The sequence below is a fragment of the Homo sapiens genome, chromosome 20, assembly GCF_000001405.40.
Source record: "Homo sapiens chromosome 20, GRCh38.p14 Primary Assembly".
In the NCBI taxonomy this organism is placed as follows: Eukaryota; Metazoa; Chordata; class Mammalia; order Primates; family Hominidae; genus Homo; species Homo sapiens.
In genome coordinates, this window is record NC_000020.11 from 9800226 (window position 1) to 9818676 (window position 18451).

The following is an 18451-nucleotide window of genomic DNA, read 5'->3' on the forward strand; positions in this document are numbered from 1 at the left end:
GAGGATTCTAAGCTTCATTTTCATAGAGATAACTCATTTTATCTGTTTCTTCTATTGAAATTTCTATCACAGCCTGTTTTTCCAACCAAATGATTTGATATTCTCATTTAGCTTCAAGCATAAAGGTCACTTTTGTTTGTTAAACTTTGACTTTATTAGCCAACCACTATCAAAAAATCTTTTAAATTTATGACCATTTATTGTGGCATTTGACATCTATTTGAACTTCATGCCTGTGGGATGACAAGAAGAATGTACTTAGAGACTTTTTAGTTCTCAATATTCTTACAGCAGGACAAGTTTTGACAGAATGATAAATATTACCAGTAAGTAGAAAAATTAATGTGTAACACTGGTACTACTGTTTGAATTTACAATAATGCAGTTCATTGTGACTGTTTTGGTAGATTTACTTCCAACTTCTCCATGGCTGACGAAATGACTGATTATGGCCTAACAACCTTTGTTACCTCCACAATCTACTTTCCAAGAAGTAAATCAAAGTTGCAAACATCAACCTGCTGCCAGCCTGCTCTTTTCCTAAAGAGATTAACCCAACATCACAAACATGACTAACTGGCCTCTCTCATCTACAAATCTCCCCCAACTAAGGAGTTAGAGATTCTCCATCACATTCCCAGCTCCAGACGGACAGACACCATTGAGAGCTAAGATGCCACAGACACCACCGAGAGCTAACTAGTGAAAGAAATAAATATAAAGGCATCTTCTGAAAATTCAAAGACTGCAGGAGAGTTTGAAAAGTCTTCTAACAACAGTTCAGGCAAGTTAAAGGGGATATCTAGATCTCCAGTTCACTCTCACATGCTTTTATTTTACAGTAAGATATGGAATCAGTAAACAATAGAAGACATAGAGGTTTCCTACTTCAATATTACTGTTGTCCCTATGAGAAAACAAATGATGAAAACCTCCCATGTAACTTTTTCAGGTCATGGCTGGGGTAATTTAGTGGGTCACTCTTCCCCTTCACTGTAACCTACAAGGAGAAAAGGGACACTATCTACAAATATTTACTAGCCATGGGGGAAAATATTAGGCATAGCACACACAGCTAATTCCTTCAATGTCAAAATATTTATATAGATATAAATATATTTAAATCTGGTTCTTATGAAACTGTTTTATAGATTTTTTTTCCCAAGTGACTAATAAACTATCTAAGAAGTTTGTCTAGAAATTTGCTTTGCTTAGAAATATTCTGTTCTTATGGAACTGTGAGACTTGTATATATATATAAACATATATATACATTATATTATAGATATACACACACACATACACTTATACATATAAATCTTCTGTTCATATGGAGCTTTTAATAGACTTTAATAGACTTTTATATTTATAGAATATATAATATTACCAGGTAAACTATTTCTGTCACGAAGAAAAACTAAAATTTTCTTTCTATCTCCATCTCCATCATGATTTCAAATTCATTTAATTAAATGTGATATTGGCAAGATTTGTAATTCAACATTTCAGTATATAAAAATTTATTAATTCATTCTAGTAAGAAAAGCCAGCATGAGTTAAATTATCTCAATCCCAAATAGCTTGAGATACATTAAAATTAATTCCACATATAAAAGTAACTAGGAAAAGGGCATGGCGCTTCATGTATTGCTACTTTATCTGGGAGTACAGTTTCAGGAAGCAAGAGTGAGAGACATGGGGACTAAAACAAGGAAGCAAACAGAGCCAATACAAAAATGCTTTATGGTGCTGGCCACCAGTAAGGTTGGCTGATTTTGCTTGATCACAAAGAACCATCTTCTGAGAATCCATAAAAAATGCTTCTTAGGACAGTCAGTCTGGGGAAGTAAAAGAGCAAGAATTTTTTTAACCGGCTTTTGTTTCCCTTGGGTCACAGATTAGCCCGATAGGGCATGAACTTCCCATACTTCTGGGTTGTGCATTTGTGGGCAATAAGTGGGATCTCATGGAGTCCCATGCTTTGGCTAGAAACAAGGACAATCTGGGTCAGGAGGCAAAGGGCATATGGCTTAGGCATCATGTGAGGTTAGCTAGGTTGTACTCACGAGACAATGGCTGGAGGTCTTAATGGGCTAGTGGTCATTGCAGTGATTGGAAGAAGAGACAGTGACGGCAAGATGATTGGAAGGGCATATGAACAATGATAAACGCAGACATTTTATAAATATGGGAGAAGGGAAGTAGTGTGCGCACACATCTGCTTTCCTATGCATTGAAAGCATCTTAAAGGGAACCCCAGAAATAATTACCATTGATTATCTGTTGGAGGCATTAACTTCTTACATAGAGAGGTAAAGAGACTTGCTGCATACATTTTTGTGTTTTGATTTTTTATTGTTTTGAATATGAATGTTTCCCATTCAAAATAATTCTGAAAGTCTTTGAAAAAGAACGTAAGCACATACTTTAAAATCACAAGGAAGAAAAATATAATCTCAGGAAGTAGAGAAAAACTGGGCATTGGACAGGGGTGGGAAAGTTAGGAGATGTGATTGTTCTGCATCCCCCATTTTTAGGAGTGGTTGAAGAAGAGACTGCATCGGTCAATAAACAGAGATGCCAAAATATTGGTTAAAGCTAAGTGGCAACCAACAGAAGGAATAGAACTAGAAACGGGGTTTAATTTTCATTTTATTCCCTTCTGTACTATTGTATATGTATGTGTATATATATATATATATATATATGAATTACTAATAGCAAAAACACTATTTAGTACAAATTAAAGAAAAAAAAAGCTCCAAACCATGCTTCAAATACTAGCTAAGTACAGAGCCACTAAGGTGCTGCACTAAAAATATTTCAAGTCAGAAAATCACAACTAACCTGAAGACACTATTATTTGAAGAACACCCAAGCTTCCGGAAATGTTTAGAAAACAATTAAGGACAAAAACAAGAAAAAAAACAAGTGCTTGTAACTCAGAACACGGCTAGTGTTATGAAAGCAAACACTGCACAAGAGTAGCTCATTTTATAAATGTAGGTTTACTAGAAATTGACATCCAGAATTAACAGCTGCAGTTGCCTGAAACTACAAAACCCCTTGAACAGAAAATCAATGACCACTTACTACGCCAAGCCCAGAAAGCATGGAAGGATAAGCAAGGGCACATCCAAGCACACATTTGCGAACTATAAAGGGCAATCCTCTACCAAAGTACTTGAGAAATAGCAGTTTTCCTGAGAGAATATAGGGACAAATAAGGGTCCCTATGTGAAAATGGAGATATTTTATATGCAAATAATTGGAATGACTTGCTGAAAGCAAACAGCAGAAAAAGAAGAGTCTAAGAACATGTCAGCCTTCTAAACAAACCTTTGAAATAAATGTAGATCAAGTGGATGTTGGAAAAGCTGATGTAACCTGGCACTTGTGATTTATCTAAACCAATTTTTAGGCAAACATGATGCAATTATATATCTGCATTAAAGTATCATTGTAAGAGAAAAATAACCTGCTAATACACCTCTTCTGGAAACAAGTAGAATTTAAATAAGTAGGAAAATTACTCAGAATCCATTAAATTCACTTTTCCATCAAGCACTCCTAACTCCATGTCTTTTTCTGTAAATCCAGAAATAAAATCCTAAAGCCTTTTCAAAAACCCATCCCCTCAAATCAGGTTTGTAAGGCACCATAAATGAGCTGGAGAAGTTGGTTTTCTCAGTGGCATAAAAGTAAATAAAGGCAACAATTAACATGGGAAAGAAAATTCAAATATTCATTTAAGCCTAGTGATTCCTCCAGAGGCCTACCTGGAAGGCATGGGATCATGCTGTGGTGGGAGACCTTCTAGCCCTTTGCCACCAACAGTGTAGTCTGTGGATCATCATCATTACCTGAGAACTTGTTAGAAATGTAGAATCTCAGGCCCTAATTCAGACTTGCTCTATCAGAATTTACATTTTAACAAGCGCTCTAGTGATCTGTATGTTCCTTGAAGTCTGAGAGGTGCTGTCATAGTTTCTCAACATTGACCCCAGAGTCACATGGTAGTGCTTATGATAAAATACAGATTTTCAAGTGTCTTTTCAAACTTACTGACTCTCCAAGATCAGCCATGTAGATGCATCAAGCAACCACTTCAAGTAATCTTTCAAATCAGGCACAGAGGATAGACATATACATCAATGGAATAAAACTAAGAGTTCAAGAAAAATTCATACATCTATGGTCAGTTGATTTATGACAAAGGTGCCAGGACAATACATGGGAAAAAATCATATTTTCAACAAATGGTGCTGAGACAATTAAATATCCACATACAAAAGAATAAATTTGACCATACCACCTCATACAATATACAAAATTTAACTAAAAATAGATCAAAGACCTAAATGTAAAAGCTAAAGCTATATAACTCTTAGAAGAAAACATAAGGGTAAATCTGCATGACATCAAATTTGGCAGTGGTTCCTCAGTTATAACACCTAAAGCGCAAGCAACCGAAGAAAAATGATAACTTTGGCTTCATCAAAATTTAAAACTTTCATGCAAAGGACACTATCCAGAGTGTGGGCCAGGTGTGATGGCTCATGTCTGTAATCCCAGCACTTTGGGAGGCTGAGGTGGAAGGATTGCTTGAGGCCAGGAGTTTAGGACCAGCCTGGGCAACACAGTGCGACCTTGTCTCTATTAAAAGAAAACAACAAACAAACAAAAACAGCAATCAAAAAACAGTGTGAAAAGGTGACCCACAAAATGGGATAAAATAATGCTAATATTATATCTGATAATGGTCTAGTATCCAGAATATAAAAAACTCTTACAACTCAACAATAAAACACAATTAACTCAATTTAAAAATGGACACAGAATGTGAATAGACATATTTCCCAAAAAAATACAAATGGCCAATAAGCACATAAAAAGATGTTTCGCATCATTAGTCATCAGTGAAATGCAAATCAAAACCACAATGAGATACCACTTCACACTCACTAGGATGGCTAGAATCGAATAGTCAGATAATAACAAGTGTTGACAAGGATGTGGAGAAATCAAAACTCTCAGGTGAATGTAAAATGAGAGTCTAAAGTACAGTCACTTTAGAAAACAGGACAGTTCCTCAAAAAATTAAACATAAAACTACCTTACGACATAGCAATTCCACTTAAAGGTATATACTCAAGAAAACTGAAAACTTACGTTCACACAAAAACTTATACAAAGCGGTCATAGAATAAGCATTATTCATAAAAGCCAAAAAGTGAAAACAACTCACATGTTCATCAATGATGAATGGATAAACAAGATGTGGTATATTCACACAATGGAATATTGTTCCACCATAAAAAGGAACAAAATACTGATACATGCTGCAAATGGATGGACTTTCAAAGTATTGTGCTATGTGAAAGAAGCCAGTCACAAAAGACCACATACTCCATTTATATTAGATATAAATTACACATATAAGAAGTATCCCAAATAAGCAAATCCATGGAGACACAAAGAAGATTAGTTTTTGCAGGGGCCTGGGGGAGGAGAGAGTGGAAAGTTTCTGATAATGGGCATAGAATTTCTTTTGGGGATTATAGAAAATGTTCTAAAATTAGATAGTGGTGTTGGTTGCAGAACTCTTTCAATAGTCTAACAATCAAAATCAGGTGCAGTTCTCACGCAAATCCTTTTTTATTCAGTTGTGGTAGTAGCACTACCAAAGAAAACACTAATGGTTTAATAGCTAAGGGAGAGAGATGGATGAGGAGCTAAGATTTTACATCTGTTTTTGAGACAGGGTTTCACTCTGTTGCCTAGGCTGGAGTGCAGTGGCATGATCTCAGCCCCCTGCAACCTCTGCCTCCTGGGTTCAAGCAATTCTTGTGCCTCAGCCTCCCAAGCAGCTGGGACTACAGGCATGCAACAACATGCCCAGCTAATTTTATTTATTTATTTATTTATTTATTTTGTATTTTTAGCAGAGATGGGGTTTCACCATGTTGGCCAGGCTGGTCTCGAACTCCTGGCCTCAAGTGACCTGCCCGCCTCTGCCTCCCAAAGTGCTGGGATTACTGGCATGAGCCACTGTACCCAGCCAGTAGATATGGTATTTAATTATAATATTATCAGAGAATGATGTGGTAAAAATAACTTTCCAGGCCTCAGCTTTGCTCCAGTTCCTGCATCTTGAATTTTCTTTTTCTTTCAAGACACAAGGCAGAGCATTTGTATCTTTCAGGCCCTATGTCAAAAGTCACCTCTTTGAGAACCCTCCCAGAACCAGGGACAGAACGTAAAGACCCTACCTCCTATATCTATATCCCTTATTTCTGTAACTCACTGTATTTTAGAGCTCTGTCACTGTGTGGGCTTTCCCATCGAAAATGAGTTTGTCCTGCAAAGAGATAGCTCTTTGCAAAGCTACCTTCTCTTTTCACTAAGTCCTCTCCAATTCTAAGTCAGCATCCTCAGCTCTAAAATGGTGACACTAAGGAGTGTGTTATCCATTAAATGAGCCACAGATAAGAGAACCTAGCATGACTGTGTACTGAATAAATGCTAGCTATTATTATTCATATTATATTAATTTCCTATCGCTACTATAATAAATCACCACAAACTTATGACTTAAGACAACATAAATTTATTATTTTATAGTTCTGGATGTCAGAAGTACAGAATGGGTCTTATGCATGAAAATCAATGTATTGGCAGAGCTGGTTCTTTCTGAGGGCCCAAGGACAGAATCCATTTCCTTGCCTTCTTCAGCCTCTACAGTCTACCCACATTCCTTGGCTTGTGACCTCTTCCCTCATCTTCAGAGCACATCACTCCAACCTCAGCTTCTGTCATCACATCTCCTCTGATTTGACCTTATTGCCTCCTTCTCATATGGACTCCCGTGTGATCATGTTGGGCCTACTCAGTTAATATAAGATAATCTCCGCATCTCAAGATCCTTAACTTAATCATATCTGCAAATCCTTTTTGTCATATAAAGGAATGTGTTCTGTGGTTCTGGGGATTGAGATGTAGACATATTTGAAGAGTCATTATTCTGTCTACCACATACACTATTCTATATTTTTAGTATCCTAGTTTCCTCCATTTCAAATGCCATGCCATTTGTCATCTCCCTTTTAACAGCTGGTGCCCCACATTTAAAGGTTTGGCAAATACTCAGTGTTGGCAAGAAAGCGAAGCACCCATACGGCAGGGTGGAGCTTAAATTAGCATAAATACCTTTGAGAAAAACTTGAAAGTACCTAATAAAATGCAACATTAACACACCCTGTGACCCAATCCCACTAATACATACATACTCTAGAGAAACTGAGACCCACATGAACAAGAAAATTGAAAGTTTAGTGGCATTGTTTACAGCTGCAAAAAGTTGAAATAAACTTACAAGTCAATGTGGCAGGGATACTAAAAATTCCCCATTCCCTTCCTGAATACAAAGCAAGACTATGTTTTCCAGGTTCCCTTGCAGTTAATTTGGGGGCCTTGTGGCTAGGTTTTGGTCAATGCAAAGTGGGCAACAGTAACGACTCCCTTCCAGCAAAAAATAAATAATAATAATAATAATAATAATAATAAATCCAGTGCAACCCTGCCTTCTAGCTTAGTAGACAGCTGGATGATCCACTAGAAACTCAGGGGAGGACCTAGAAAATGACAATCATGCAAGATGGAGAAATCTGAGATCCCGAGTTAGCACATGCAGGAGAGTTCCCCAGCCAGAAGCATTAACTTTGAACTTCACATGAATGATACAAAAGATTTTATTGTGGATTTTGGGAATTTGTATTAACAGAGATGGTATTATTTACTCTGACAGTAAAACGGACAAAGAGACAAGACAGAAAATAGACAAGTTGAGGTGTGTTCAGACAACTGAATATTGTACCACCAGTGAAACTGAATGTATTAGCACTTTGTGTGTACCCAGGGATGAACTTAGAAACACAATGATAAGCAAAGTAAGGTGCAGGTTATAAATAATATAAAATGAAATTCCTTACATTGTTTGAAAGAATACATAACATTTCTACATACTGTTTAGAAATACTAACACAAGGAGAAGTACAAAAAAGTATGTGAAAATAAGAAGTATCAACACCCAGGGAGTGGCTTCTTTGAAAACAGTTTGGCCGTTCCTCAACTGAGTTACCATATGGCTTGGTAATTGCACTTCTAGGTAAGTACCCAAGAGAATTGAAAATGTATGTTCACACACAAACTTGTACATGACTGTTTATGAAAGAAGCAGTATTCATAATGTCCAAAAAGCAGAAACAATTCAAATGTCCTTCAACTGAAGAATGGCTAAACAAAAATTATTCAGCCACAGAAAGGGATGAAATACTGATCCATGCTAGAACATGGATGAACCTTGAAAACATTATGCTAAGTGAAAGAAGCGATCGCAAAGGAATAAGTACTGTATGATTCCATTTATATGAAATGTTCAGAACAGGCAAATTCATAGAGTTAGAAAGTAAACTGGTAGGAGTATAAGGCTTGGAGTTTGGTGGGGTAGGGGAAAATAGGGGATGCTTTCTAGTGGTGACTGAGTTTCTTTCTGAGTTGATGAGAAGGCTCTAAAATTGATTGTGGTGATGGCTGTACAACTCTGTGAATATCATTGAATTGTATACTTTAATTGTATGCAATATGAATATAACTCAGTAAATCTGTTGTTTTAAAAAATGAGAAGAATGATTATCTCTAGAAAAACAGAAGGTAATGCAATCTGGGGAGAAGTATACAGGAATCAACTAGTATATTAGTAATATGCTATTTGTTACACTGGGTGGTAGGTATGTCGATGTTCTTTATATTATTCTATTTTTTATGTGATGAAATTGCTTATAATTTTGTTTAGATGCTACTTCTGGAAGGGAGATGGGTGCCCTTGCCAGTGTGGGAAACATCATCAACATCATCTCCAAATTCTCAGCCAACATTCTGAGCCTTTAGCATACACTAGATATACTATGAAGCTTACTTAAAAATATAGATCTCAGGGCCTCACACCAGATCTCTCAAATCAGACTGTCTGGAAAGGTAACTTGACCCTGCAAAATGAACAATTCAGTTAGAGAACAAGTGATACTACTTTTCTGTTGAGGCAATCCAAATTTTTTTTTTTTTTTTTGGCAGGCTCATCATGATAATGACTCCGATTCTAGGGTTTGGGAATAACTTGGTGTTTAAAAAAATAAAAAGGAGAAAACAAGAACATACCATGAGGCCACAAGTATCTGCTTTTAGAAAGTAACAGCTGAGACAACTGAATGATCACACTCAGGCAAATAACTAGATTTTTTTCCTCCCATCAGGGACTTAATTGGGTGTATTTATAAGCACCACTCCTTCAAAACTCTGAGCTCAGGAGCTCTTTGTGCTGTCATTATAGTTTTTTTAAGATGCTTTGTGTTTAATGGCTGTTTGTCAAACATTTCTTAAACTATTCACATCCCACCTTCCTGATTTCTACCACACAGCACCTGTACAATTATTTATTTACAATTTCATTTAAACCAACTTTATATTGACTCATAGCTGTCACTGATTTTTAAAAGCTTATGAACTACCTAACATAACAGGTTTACCAGAACCACTCTTCGGAGAATACTACTTGAATGGCTGCAAGGTCAGAATTTTACTCTGAGGAAGCCTCTCCATTCTTTTAAGCTGTCAAACTTTGGAAGACTCTGGCCATAGGATTCTATTTATCTTTCCTCTGACATTCCATTTTGTAAGCATTTTCCTAACGCCGAAGCTCTCCCTTCCAATGCTAAAATTACATTTGCTACATCCTCCCGAGACTCATTCCTTTCATTTTACCACCTTATTTTTGTCAGAGTTAAGTCCATGGTCACAGATGCACTTCCAGGCTCCTTCCACCTGTGCAGCAGTGGTTCCCAACCTCCTCTGCTCCTGGAGGGCTTTCAGCACTACATACCAGATCAATAAAACCAGAATCACATGGAATGGGGTCCAGAGGTTGTAAATTTGAAAGCACCAAAGGTGACCCCAGCATGCGCTTTTAGGAAAATACAAATAGCAAGGCAAACCAAGAATGTATCAAACAGCCAGCCGTTGTGGCTCATGCCTGTAGTCCAGTTACTTTGGGAGGCTGAGGTGGGAGGATTGCTTGAGCCCAGGAGTTTGAGAACAGCCTGGGAAACAAAGTGAGACCCTGCCTCTGCAAAAGATTAAAAGAACTAGCCAGGAAGTGTGCACCTGACGTGGGAGGATCCCTTGAGCCCAGGAAGTGGAAGGCTGCAGTGAGCCGTGATCACAACACTGCACTCCCGCCTGGGTGACACAGCAAGACCCTGTCTCCAAAGAAAAGGAAGCAAGAAAGAATGTATCAAGGGCAGTGTTTAACTAGGCTTAATTTAGACACAACAGTTTATATTTCTTAAGTGTGATGCCAAATTTAAATAATACTTTGACCAGTAGCTGTTAAAATTGTCTAATTGCAAAATGTACCTAAAATGTACCCTCTCTGCTATTACCCTAATGGAGAATCTGTTTCCCAACCTGCATTAATAAAAATGTACAAGATCACATTTCACCATATCTCACAAAAATGAATAAAAGACTTGCAAAGTTAAGTTTCACCACGTATATATACACACATACACATAGACACATAGACATATATACATACACATGCATACATATATACATACATACATATGCACATACAGTTGCTAGATATTCAAGAAGTAACTATTCAAATAACTCTAGAGATATGAAAAACACTATGGAATCCAGCTCACAAAAGAGACATCTGGCAGCCACATCAGCAATAGAAGCAGTATAATGGTTTATGTGGATAGTATGATTTGCTGCAGATTTTCATATATTCTGTGCTGCCTAAGCACTACTTGAATATCTATTTAATGACTATGGAATATTTAATTTGAGCAAAATGAGCTCCAGATTGTTTACAAAGTACTGGCCAATGATCCCCTCCTTATAAATTAATCTGCCCCAAAATATGATCAAATTTGATTTCTTGAAATGTACTTATCATCGTGACATTGTATACTGTCTCACAGTTCTCCTATGGATGCCACTTCCCAAAGGCCGCCCAGTAACTCCTAAATGCTACTAAAACATTCTCTCTGTCTCTCTCTCTCCCCCACCCCAAAAAGAAATATGTGTTCCTAGAATTCAGGGGTAAAAAAGAAAGCTTTTGGTTTGTTTTGGTTTTTACTAATAAAGAACAGTCCAGGACAAATTCTACCATGCAGGGGATATTAGTCTAATAATACAGAGTGAGAACAGAAGGGAGAAGTGGCACTATGACCAGAGGCCAACTACTTTCACTCTCTTAAAGGTTGCATGACTGCCTGAGACTGGACAGCCCACGGAACTGAACAAGAATGGCTGCATTCAACCTAGCTGGTCTATACATCTAGAAACTCAGTCAATCTTGTATGTATCTATATATTCAAATTATGTAGTCCAGCACTTGAATACATGTATTCTTTTCAAATATTATCTTTAAAGCACACTTCCAAAATTTAAGAATAACATGTGCTCACCCCGCCACTGAAACAATGCAAAGTTGGACAATGGAAGAAGTTACTATGCTCCTTCTAACCATTCTACATCCCTTCTGCAAACCACACCCTCCAAAAACTATGGAGTCAGACTGCCTTCTTCAAACACTGGCTTCTCTCTTGGTGACTTTGATTAAGGTGAGTTTATCTCCATCCACCTCAGTTTCCTTATTCTCATAAAGAAAATGAATTATAGCACCTACATCATATACATACCTAGTTGTGTAATGTATATTGATAATATTAGGGGTAATGGGGTTGCTCAAACCTGTTTTAGAATCTAAGATATTTCCTAGGGGATCACCTTTCACTAGGTCTTTTCAAGAAAATATTTTTGAGCACCAACATGTGCCAATCACTATTCTAGTTCCTAGGAAGACAGCATTAAAATAAAAGACTATTATAAAAATGAAATGTCAAGCCACAGTCTGGGAGAAAATATTTGAATAACATACCTTAAAAAGGCCTTATATCTAGAATATTTATTTTTGAATTTCATAAGCTCAATAACAAAAAAAAAACGATGTTTAAAATCAACACAAAATTTGAAGAGACAATATCACCAGAGAAGATGTACAAATGGCAAGTAACATATAAAAATGATGTTCAACATCATTAGTCATTGGGGAAATGTGAAATAAAACCACAATGAGATATCACCACTCCTATCAGATTAGCAAAAATTTTAAAAAGACTTACTATAAAGTGTTGGAACAATTGGAACTCTCAGACAGAAAACAGGTTGATAGTCTCCTATAGAGTTAAACATGTACCTACCATATGACCCACCCATTACACTCCTAGATGTACACCCAAGGGAAGTAGAGGGATATATATGAAAGTTCATACATAAATGTCCATAGTAGCATCATTTCTAATAGGCAAAAGTTAGAATCAACTCAAATGCACATCAACAGATGAATGGATAAACAAATTAGATAGTTAGAAGGAATAAGATCTAATGCTCAGTAGCACAATAGGGTGACTACATTTAACAATAATTTATTGTATATTTCAAATTACTAGAAGAGTGAAATTGGAATGTTCCTAATGTAAAGAAATAATAAATGCTTGATGTGACGGATATCCCAGTTACCCTGATTTGATATTACACATTGTATGCTTGTATCAAAACTTCACAAGTACCCCACAAATATGTACAACTATTAGGTATCCATAAAAAATAAAAATAAAAAAGTTTAATAGTAACTTAAAGCTAAAAAATCTATAGCAAACTATATAGTATAACCATACAATGGAATGCCACTCACAAATGAAAAGAAATAAACTATTGATATAAGCAACAATATAGATGAATCCCAAAATAACTGTGATGAGTGAAAGCAAAATAAGAGTACCTTATGTATGATTTCACGTATATAAAAAATTCTAGAAAATCCAAACTAATGAACATCACAGAAAACAGAGCAATAGGGACCTAGGGTAGGAGATATAGGAGCTACGGGAAGAAGTGGTAGAGAGGGACTGCTATGGAGCAAGGACAAACTTTTGGGGGTGACAGATATGTTCATTAGCTTAACCACAGTAACAATTCCATGGGTGTATATTGTAAGACAGGTATACCTCAATAAAGCTCAAAAATAAAATAAGAAAAAATATAAACAAGGTCTTTACCATCTTAGGAGTAACATTGTGATGGGGGTAAAGCTAGACAGAAAAAGTTTAAATAGGCAAATACATACCACATAGTTTTAAGTAATACAGTTAAAATTAATTCACATGATGTTCACCAAAAAATGTTCAGTAACGTTCATAGCAGCAGTGTTTGTAATAGCCCTAAATGGAAAACCAGCCAATGTCCACCAAGAGCAGAAAAAACTGTGGTGTATTCATACAGTGGAATGCTATATAGCAATGAGAATAAGTGAACTGCAACTACACAAAACCTCACGGATGAATCTTACTAATAACATAGTGAATGAAAGAAGCCAGGCACAAATGAGGACTTTATGATTCCAATTTTAATCGATGCCGACAAAGCTGAGGATGGCATTTGCCCTTGGGTGTAGTGAGCAACTAGAAGGAAATCCAGCAAGGGCTTCTGGGTGCTTGTACAAAGGTGTGCTCACTTGGTGAAAATTCATCCAGTTATAGCCTTAAAATGTGTGTCCTTTTTTGTGTATATGTTAACCTTCAAAAAATTACTTTAAATAAAAATGAACCCATATGATAGGATAGAGATTAACTGGCTATTTTAGGATGAATGTCAGAAACACCTTTCTGAATAGGAAGCATATAAGCTGAGATCTGAAAAACAAGAATGAGCCAGGTCCATCAGGTTCTTGGTCAAGTGCATTCTAGGCAAGTGCAATTGCAGTGGACTTCAACAGGATGGCCAGGCAGAGAATGGTATGAGATGAAGTGGGAAGAGTAGGCAGGACTATGTTAGAAAAGGGTACTATAAACAAGGCAAGGAGTTTACATTTTATTTAGATCCAAAGTGAGGCCGTTGAAAGATTCTACATAGGAATTGTTATGAAATTATGGGCATTTTTGTGAGGTTTTTTAGCTGTTTGAGTCAGTTTCATCATCAGTGAAATGAGAATGAAAATAAATCATATAATGCACATGAAGGGCTTAACACTGTGTCTAGCATGTCTTGAAAAAATGATTGTGGTTAATATTGCCATATTTCATTGACCAAGAATTTAATTGACCAAGACACCAAGAATTGCAAGATGCACCATTATTTTAGGAATCACTGAGAAAGAAAAAAGAGTTGCCAATTAAAATATCACAACACTGTTAACTATTAGAGTTTTTAGTTTACCTTGTAAAAGTGTTCTTTTAGATTTACTGAGTCAGAGCTTTATATCATATGCCACTCTTTCATAAAATACATACATAAAAAATAAATATATAAGAAAAACAAATCAGCTAAATTCTTACTAAAGTATCTGTCCATTCATAATCTGACTATCCTGAATCATTTTTGGATTCAGAATCCCCAAATGCCATATTTTGAGCATTTGTGCAGGCAACAGCAATGACACGAGGGTGGACACCTGGAAGTCATGTGACGCTTTTGCTATCTATATTGCTAGCCATATGTCTTAGTCTGTTTGTGTTGCTATAAAAGTATACCTGAGGCTGGGTAATTTATAAAGAAAAAAGGTTTATTTGGCTCATGGTTCTGCAGGCTGTACAAGAAGCATAGCACCTGCACCTGCTTCTGTTGAGGGCTTCAGGCAGCTTCCACTTATGGTGGAAGGCAAAGAGGCGCTACTGTGTGCAGAGATCATGTGGCAAGAGGGGAAGCAAAAGAGAAAGGAGGAGATGCCAGGCTCTTTTCAACAACTAGTTCTTGCAGGAAATAAGAGTGAGAATTCACTCTCTCCTTCGAGAATGGCACCAAAAAATTCATGAAGGATCCGCCCCCATGATCCAAACACTTCCTACCAGGCCCACCTCCAACACTGAGGATCAAATTTCAACAAGAGACTTGGCAAGGCCAAACAAACCATATCCAAACCATAGCACCATATAAATCTGGTTTAATATCTGCATTGAAAATATGAATATGAATGCCTGCCATCATTCCTCAGGAACACAGAGTGAAAACTGAAATGCATGTGTGTAGTCCTTGGAGTTTCTTGGGAAGAAAGTCATGATTAGGCCTCAGTTGACATTACTGGGCCATCCCTCCCTTCTGAAGCAGCTCTACAAATCCATACACTCAGGTTTGGGCCATCCTCATTGCTCCATCCCCTAAGACAGACCCTCCCCAGCTCTGACATGGAACAGTAATTACTTTCACTTGTCAAACTGTCGTTCAGGTATAATTTTGCAATGGTCCCGTCGGTTATAATTCTCTGTGTTCTGAATTTTCTGCTTTTCTCACTGTGGTCCCTCATGATTCAAAAATAAGTCTTTCTAATGATTAGTGGTCTACCATAGCAATTCTTTTTGTTTCTACTATTTGGGATTGTTCCTTTCTTCTGCTTATTAAAATGGTAATTAAATTTAATCCCACCAACCTACTCAGGGGAAAATAAAATCCAATATGCTTCTATTTCACATGCCAAATGACAGTTCCTGCCAGACTGTCACATAACTCAAACCAACCAGCCCCTTCTCTAGTGTTCCCTTCCTTCAGGCCAGACACACAGCTTCTCATAATGAAGGTTGCTCTGTAAAACAGAAATTACATGCACCATTCAGAGAGCTCCAAAGTCACACTACAATAGAACTCCCTAGTTCTGAGTCATTGGTGTCTAAAGTCAGTCTGATTTCATGAAAGTTCTGAATTATAGGAGATTGGAACTCTGGGGTCAGTACTTCAGGGTTATGAGGGCAGGCTCTGGAGAAAGACTTGACTGGGTTCAGAAAGTGGCAGTGTGGCCTCTAAAGCCTCAGTTTTGTCCTCTGAAATATGTGATTATAGGGAGCATATATTCTGGGCAACTTGAATCTGTGTTCCTGGGAAATTTAAAAAATTAAATATTAAAATTAAATACAGGAATTACAATTGTACTAACTTCATAGGGTTATTATGAGTATATTATCTGTCCCATTAATAGCGAAATAAAGGTTAACTGCTGTGATGGTTAACATCATGTGTCGACTTGACTGGATCGCAGAATGCCCACATATCTGGTTAAATGTTATTCCTGGGTATGTCCATCGGAGTGTTTCCAGAAGAAATTTGTATTTGAATCAGCAGCCTGGGTAAAGTGAATTGCCTTCCCCAACATGAGTGGGCATTATCCAATCCATTGAGGGCCTGAATGGAACAAAAAGGCAGAGGAAGGTTGAATCTGCTCTCTGCTTAACTGCTTGAGCTTGGACATCAGTCTTATCTCCTGTTCTCTGCACTCCTGGTTCTCAGGTATTCTGACTCAGATTGGAATCCATACTTTCTCTCTGGTTCTCAGGCTTTTGAACCCCACAACTGGCTTGACTGGGTCTTTAGCTTGCAGATAGCAGATCATGGGACTTCTCTGCTTCCATAATTATGTGAGCCAATACCATACCTTATAATAAATCTCCTTTCTCCAGAGAACCCTGACTAGTACAGCAGCCATGACTATTACTACTGGTATCAGTTCTATTTTTTCTACTGTAACCATTACTATGCAGATGATGCAAGGTATAGAGAATATGGGACACCTGGAATCTTGTGTCTGCTACTAACTGCTGAGACCTGGTATTTATTTTACAGGAGGAAACTTATAGTATAATATGAGTTTAAGAATTATACAAGCCAGGCATGGTGGTGCACACCTATAGTCCCAGCTACAAGGAAGGCTGAGGCAGGAGGATCACTTGAGCTTAGGAGTTTGAGTCCAGGCTGGGCAACATAGTGAGATCCTGTCTCTAAAACTAACTACATGAATAAATAATAAAAATTAAAAATAAAGAATTATGTAAATAAGAACACTCAACATTATAACAGTTTTTGGCTGAATTGGAGTCTCAAAACTACAATTTCAAGCTCTCAGTTTCCATGATTTTAAATACGTATAATTTTTTTAAAAATCTATCCAAATGAAAGACTTTCAAGTCTACACATAGAAGAGCTTCAGGTACCAGCAAATGTCATAATGTACATTCATTGAGCACTACTAAGTGCCTACTTCTCTGCTAAGCCCGATTTATTCATTCATTTCTTCCTTCAACACACACAATAGTGATCTCTTAATATGTGCCAGGCCCTGGAGATAGCAGGCCAAACAAAATAGGCAAGATCCTTAATCTCCGGGGAAAGATATCTTACTGGTGAAGAAGAAAGATAACAGAAAATAAACAGATAAATGAACGAGATAATTTCAGATGGTGAAAAAAATATGTAGAAAGTAAATCAGAGTCACATTTTGGATGGAGTGATGACAACCCACAGCAGCCCAAACAAGGTACCTAATAATATTTTTTTAATGCTTAGGAAATCAGTGCTTAGAGAAACTAATAAATTTGACCAATTTTCACAACTAGTGGTCTGGACAGGGTCTACAATCCATGCTTGCCAAGTCCATAATCCAATCTCTTACCCATTACATAAACTGCCTTTGCACACACTCTATGATTTATGTCAAATTCCAAAGCTATCAATTCTCAGTTAATGAGGTCACACCTGGTGAAGGCCAGGCATGGCCAATCTCTGGCAGTGGGACTTTCTTCATAGGAACACAGAGCAGCTAGGGGTCATCAGCTATCTTTGCCACATAAAATCCAGCTTTTATTTATCTAAAACAAATACTCAACTCCTTCTGTTGTAAAATCAAAGAAGGATTTTTTAAAAAGAAACACAAAAGAAGAAATGCAAATTCAGAGTAAACACCCTTGGTATCTGTTCACTTCCTTTTAAAATCCAGTTTTAACAAAATACCCTGCTAAGTCAGTTTAGCAAAATCCTTCCACCTTGACATCTGATCACTCTCCATATCTGATCAGATTCTTCCTCCTCTTCCATTATTCCTCAGGTATGTCTGATCATGCTGGACTGTCTTAAGCAAGAATCCCATTAGGTCAGTTTAGCCATCCTCCTTACCCAGATGTTTCCTCTTGGTAATTTTCCATCCACTCCTACTCTGCTCCTTGGCAATATAAATTACTACTGGTCCATGCTGTGTTCAGAGTTAAGCTCCATCTCTGTCCCTCACTGTGAAATCTCATTGCTCGGTCCCTCTACCTATCATGATGGCCCTAAATAAAGTATTTTTTACTCTGCTTTAACGAATATCACTGAAACACCCTCCATTAACATGGGAACAGTATCTCGCAAGGATGAATCTTGGTGGAGACTGATAATCTGCAAAAACCAAGAATTCAAAGCATTCCAAGGAAAGCAAATATATCTGAACAGATGCACATAGACCGTAATATTCCTAAAGCAATTTAATATTTAATCTCTGAATGGATGAAAATTATCATAAAGTCTA

General features: G+C 37.1%; 1 protein-coding gene across 5 annotated transcripts in view; it reads right to left on the reverse strand.

Annotated features, from left to right (window-relative positions):
* Positions 1–18451, reverse strand: part of PAK5 (p21 (RAC1) activated kinase 5) — a 301707-nt gene that overhangs the window by 262856 nt on the left and 20400 nt on the right. The gene's annotated exons all lie outside the window — the stretch shown is intronic.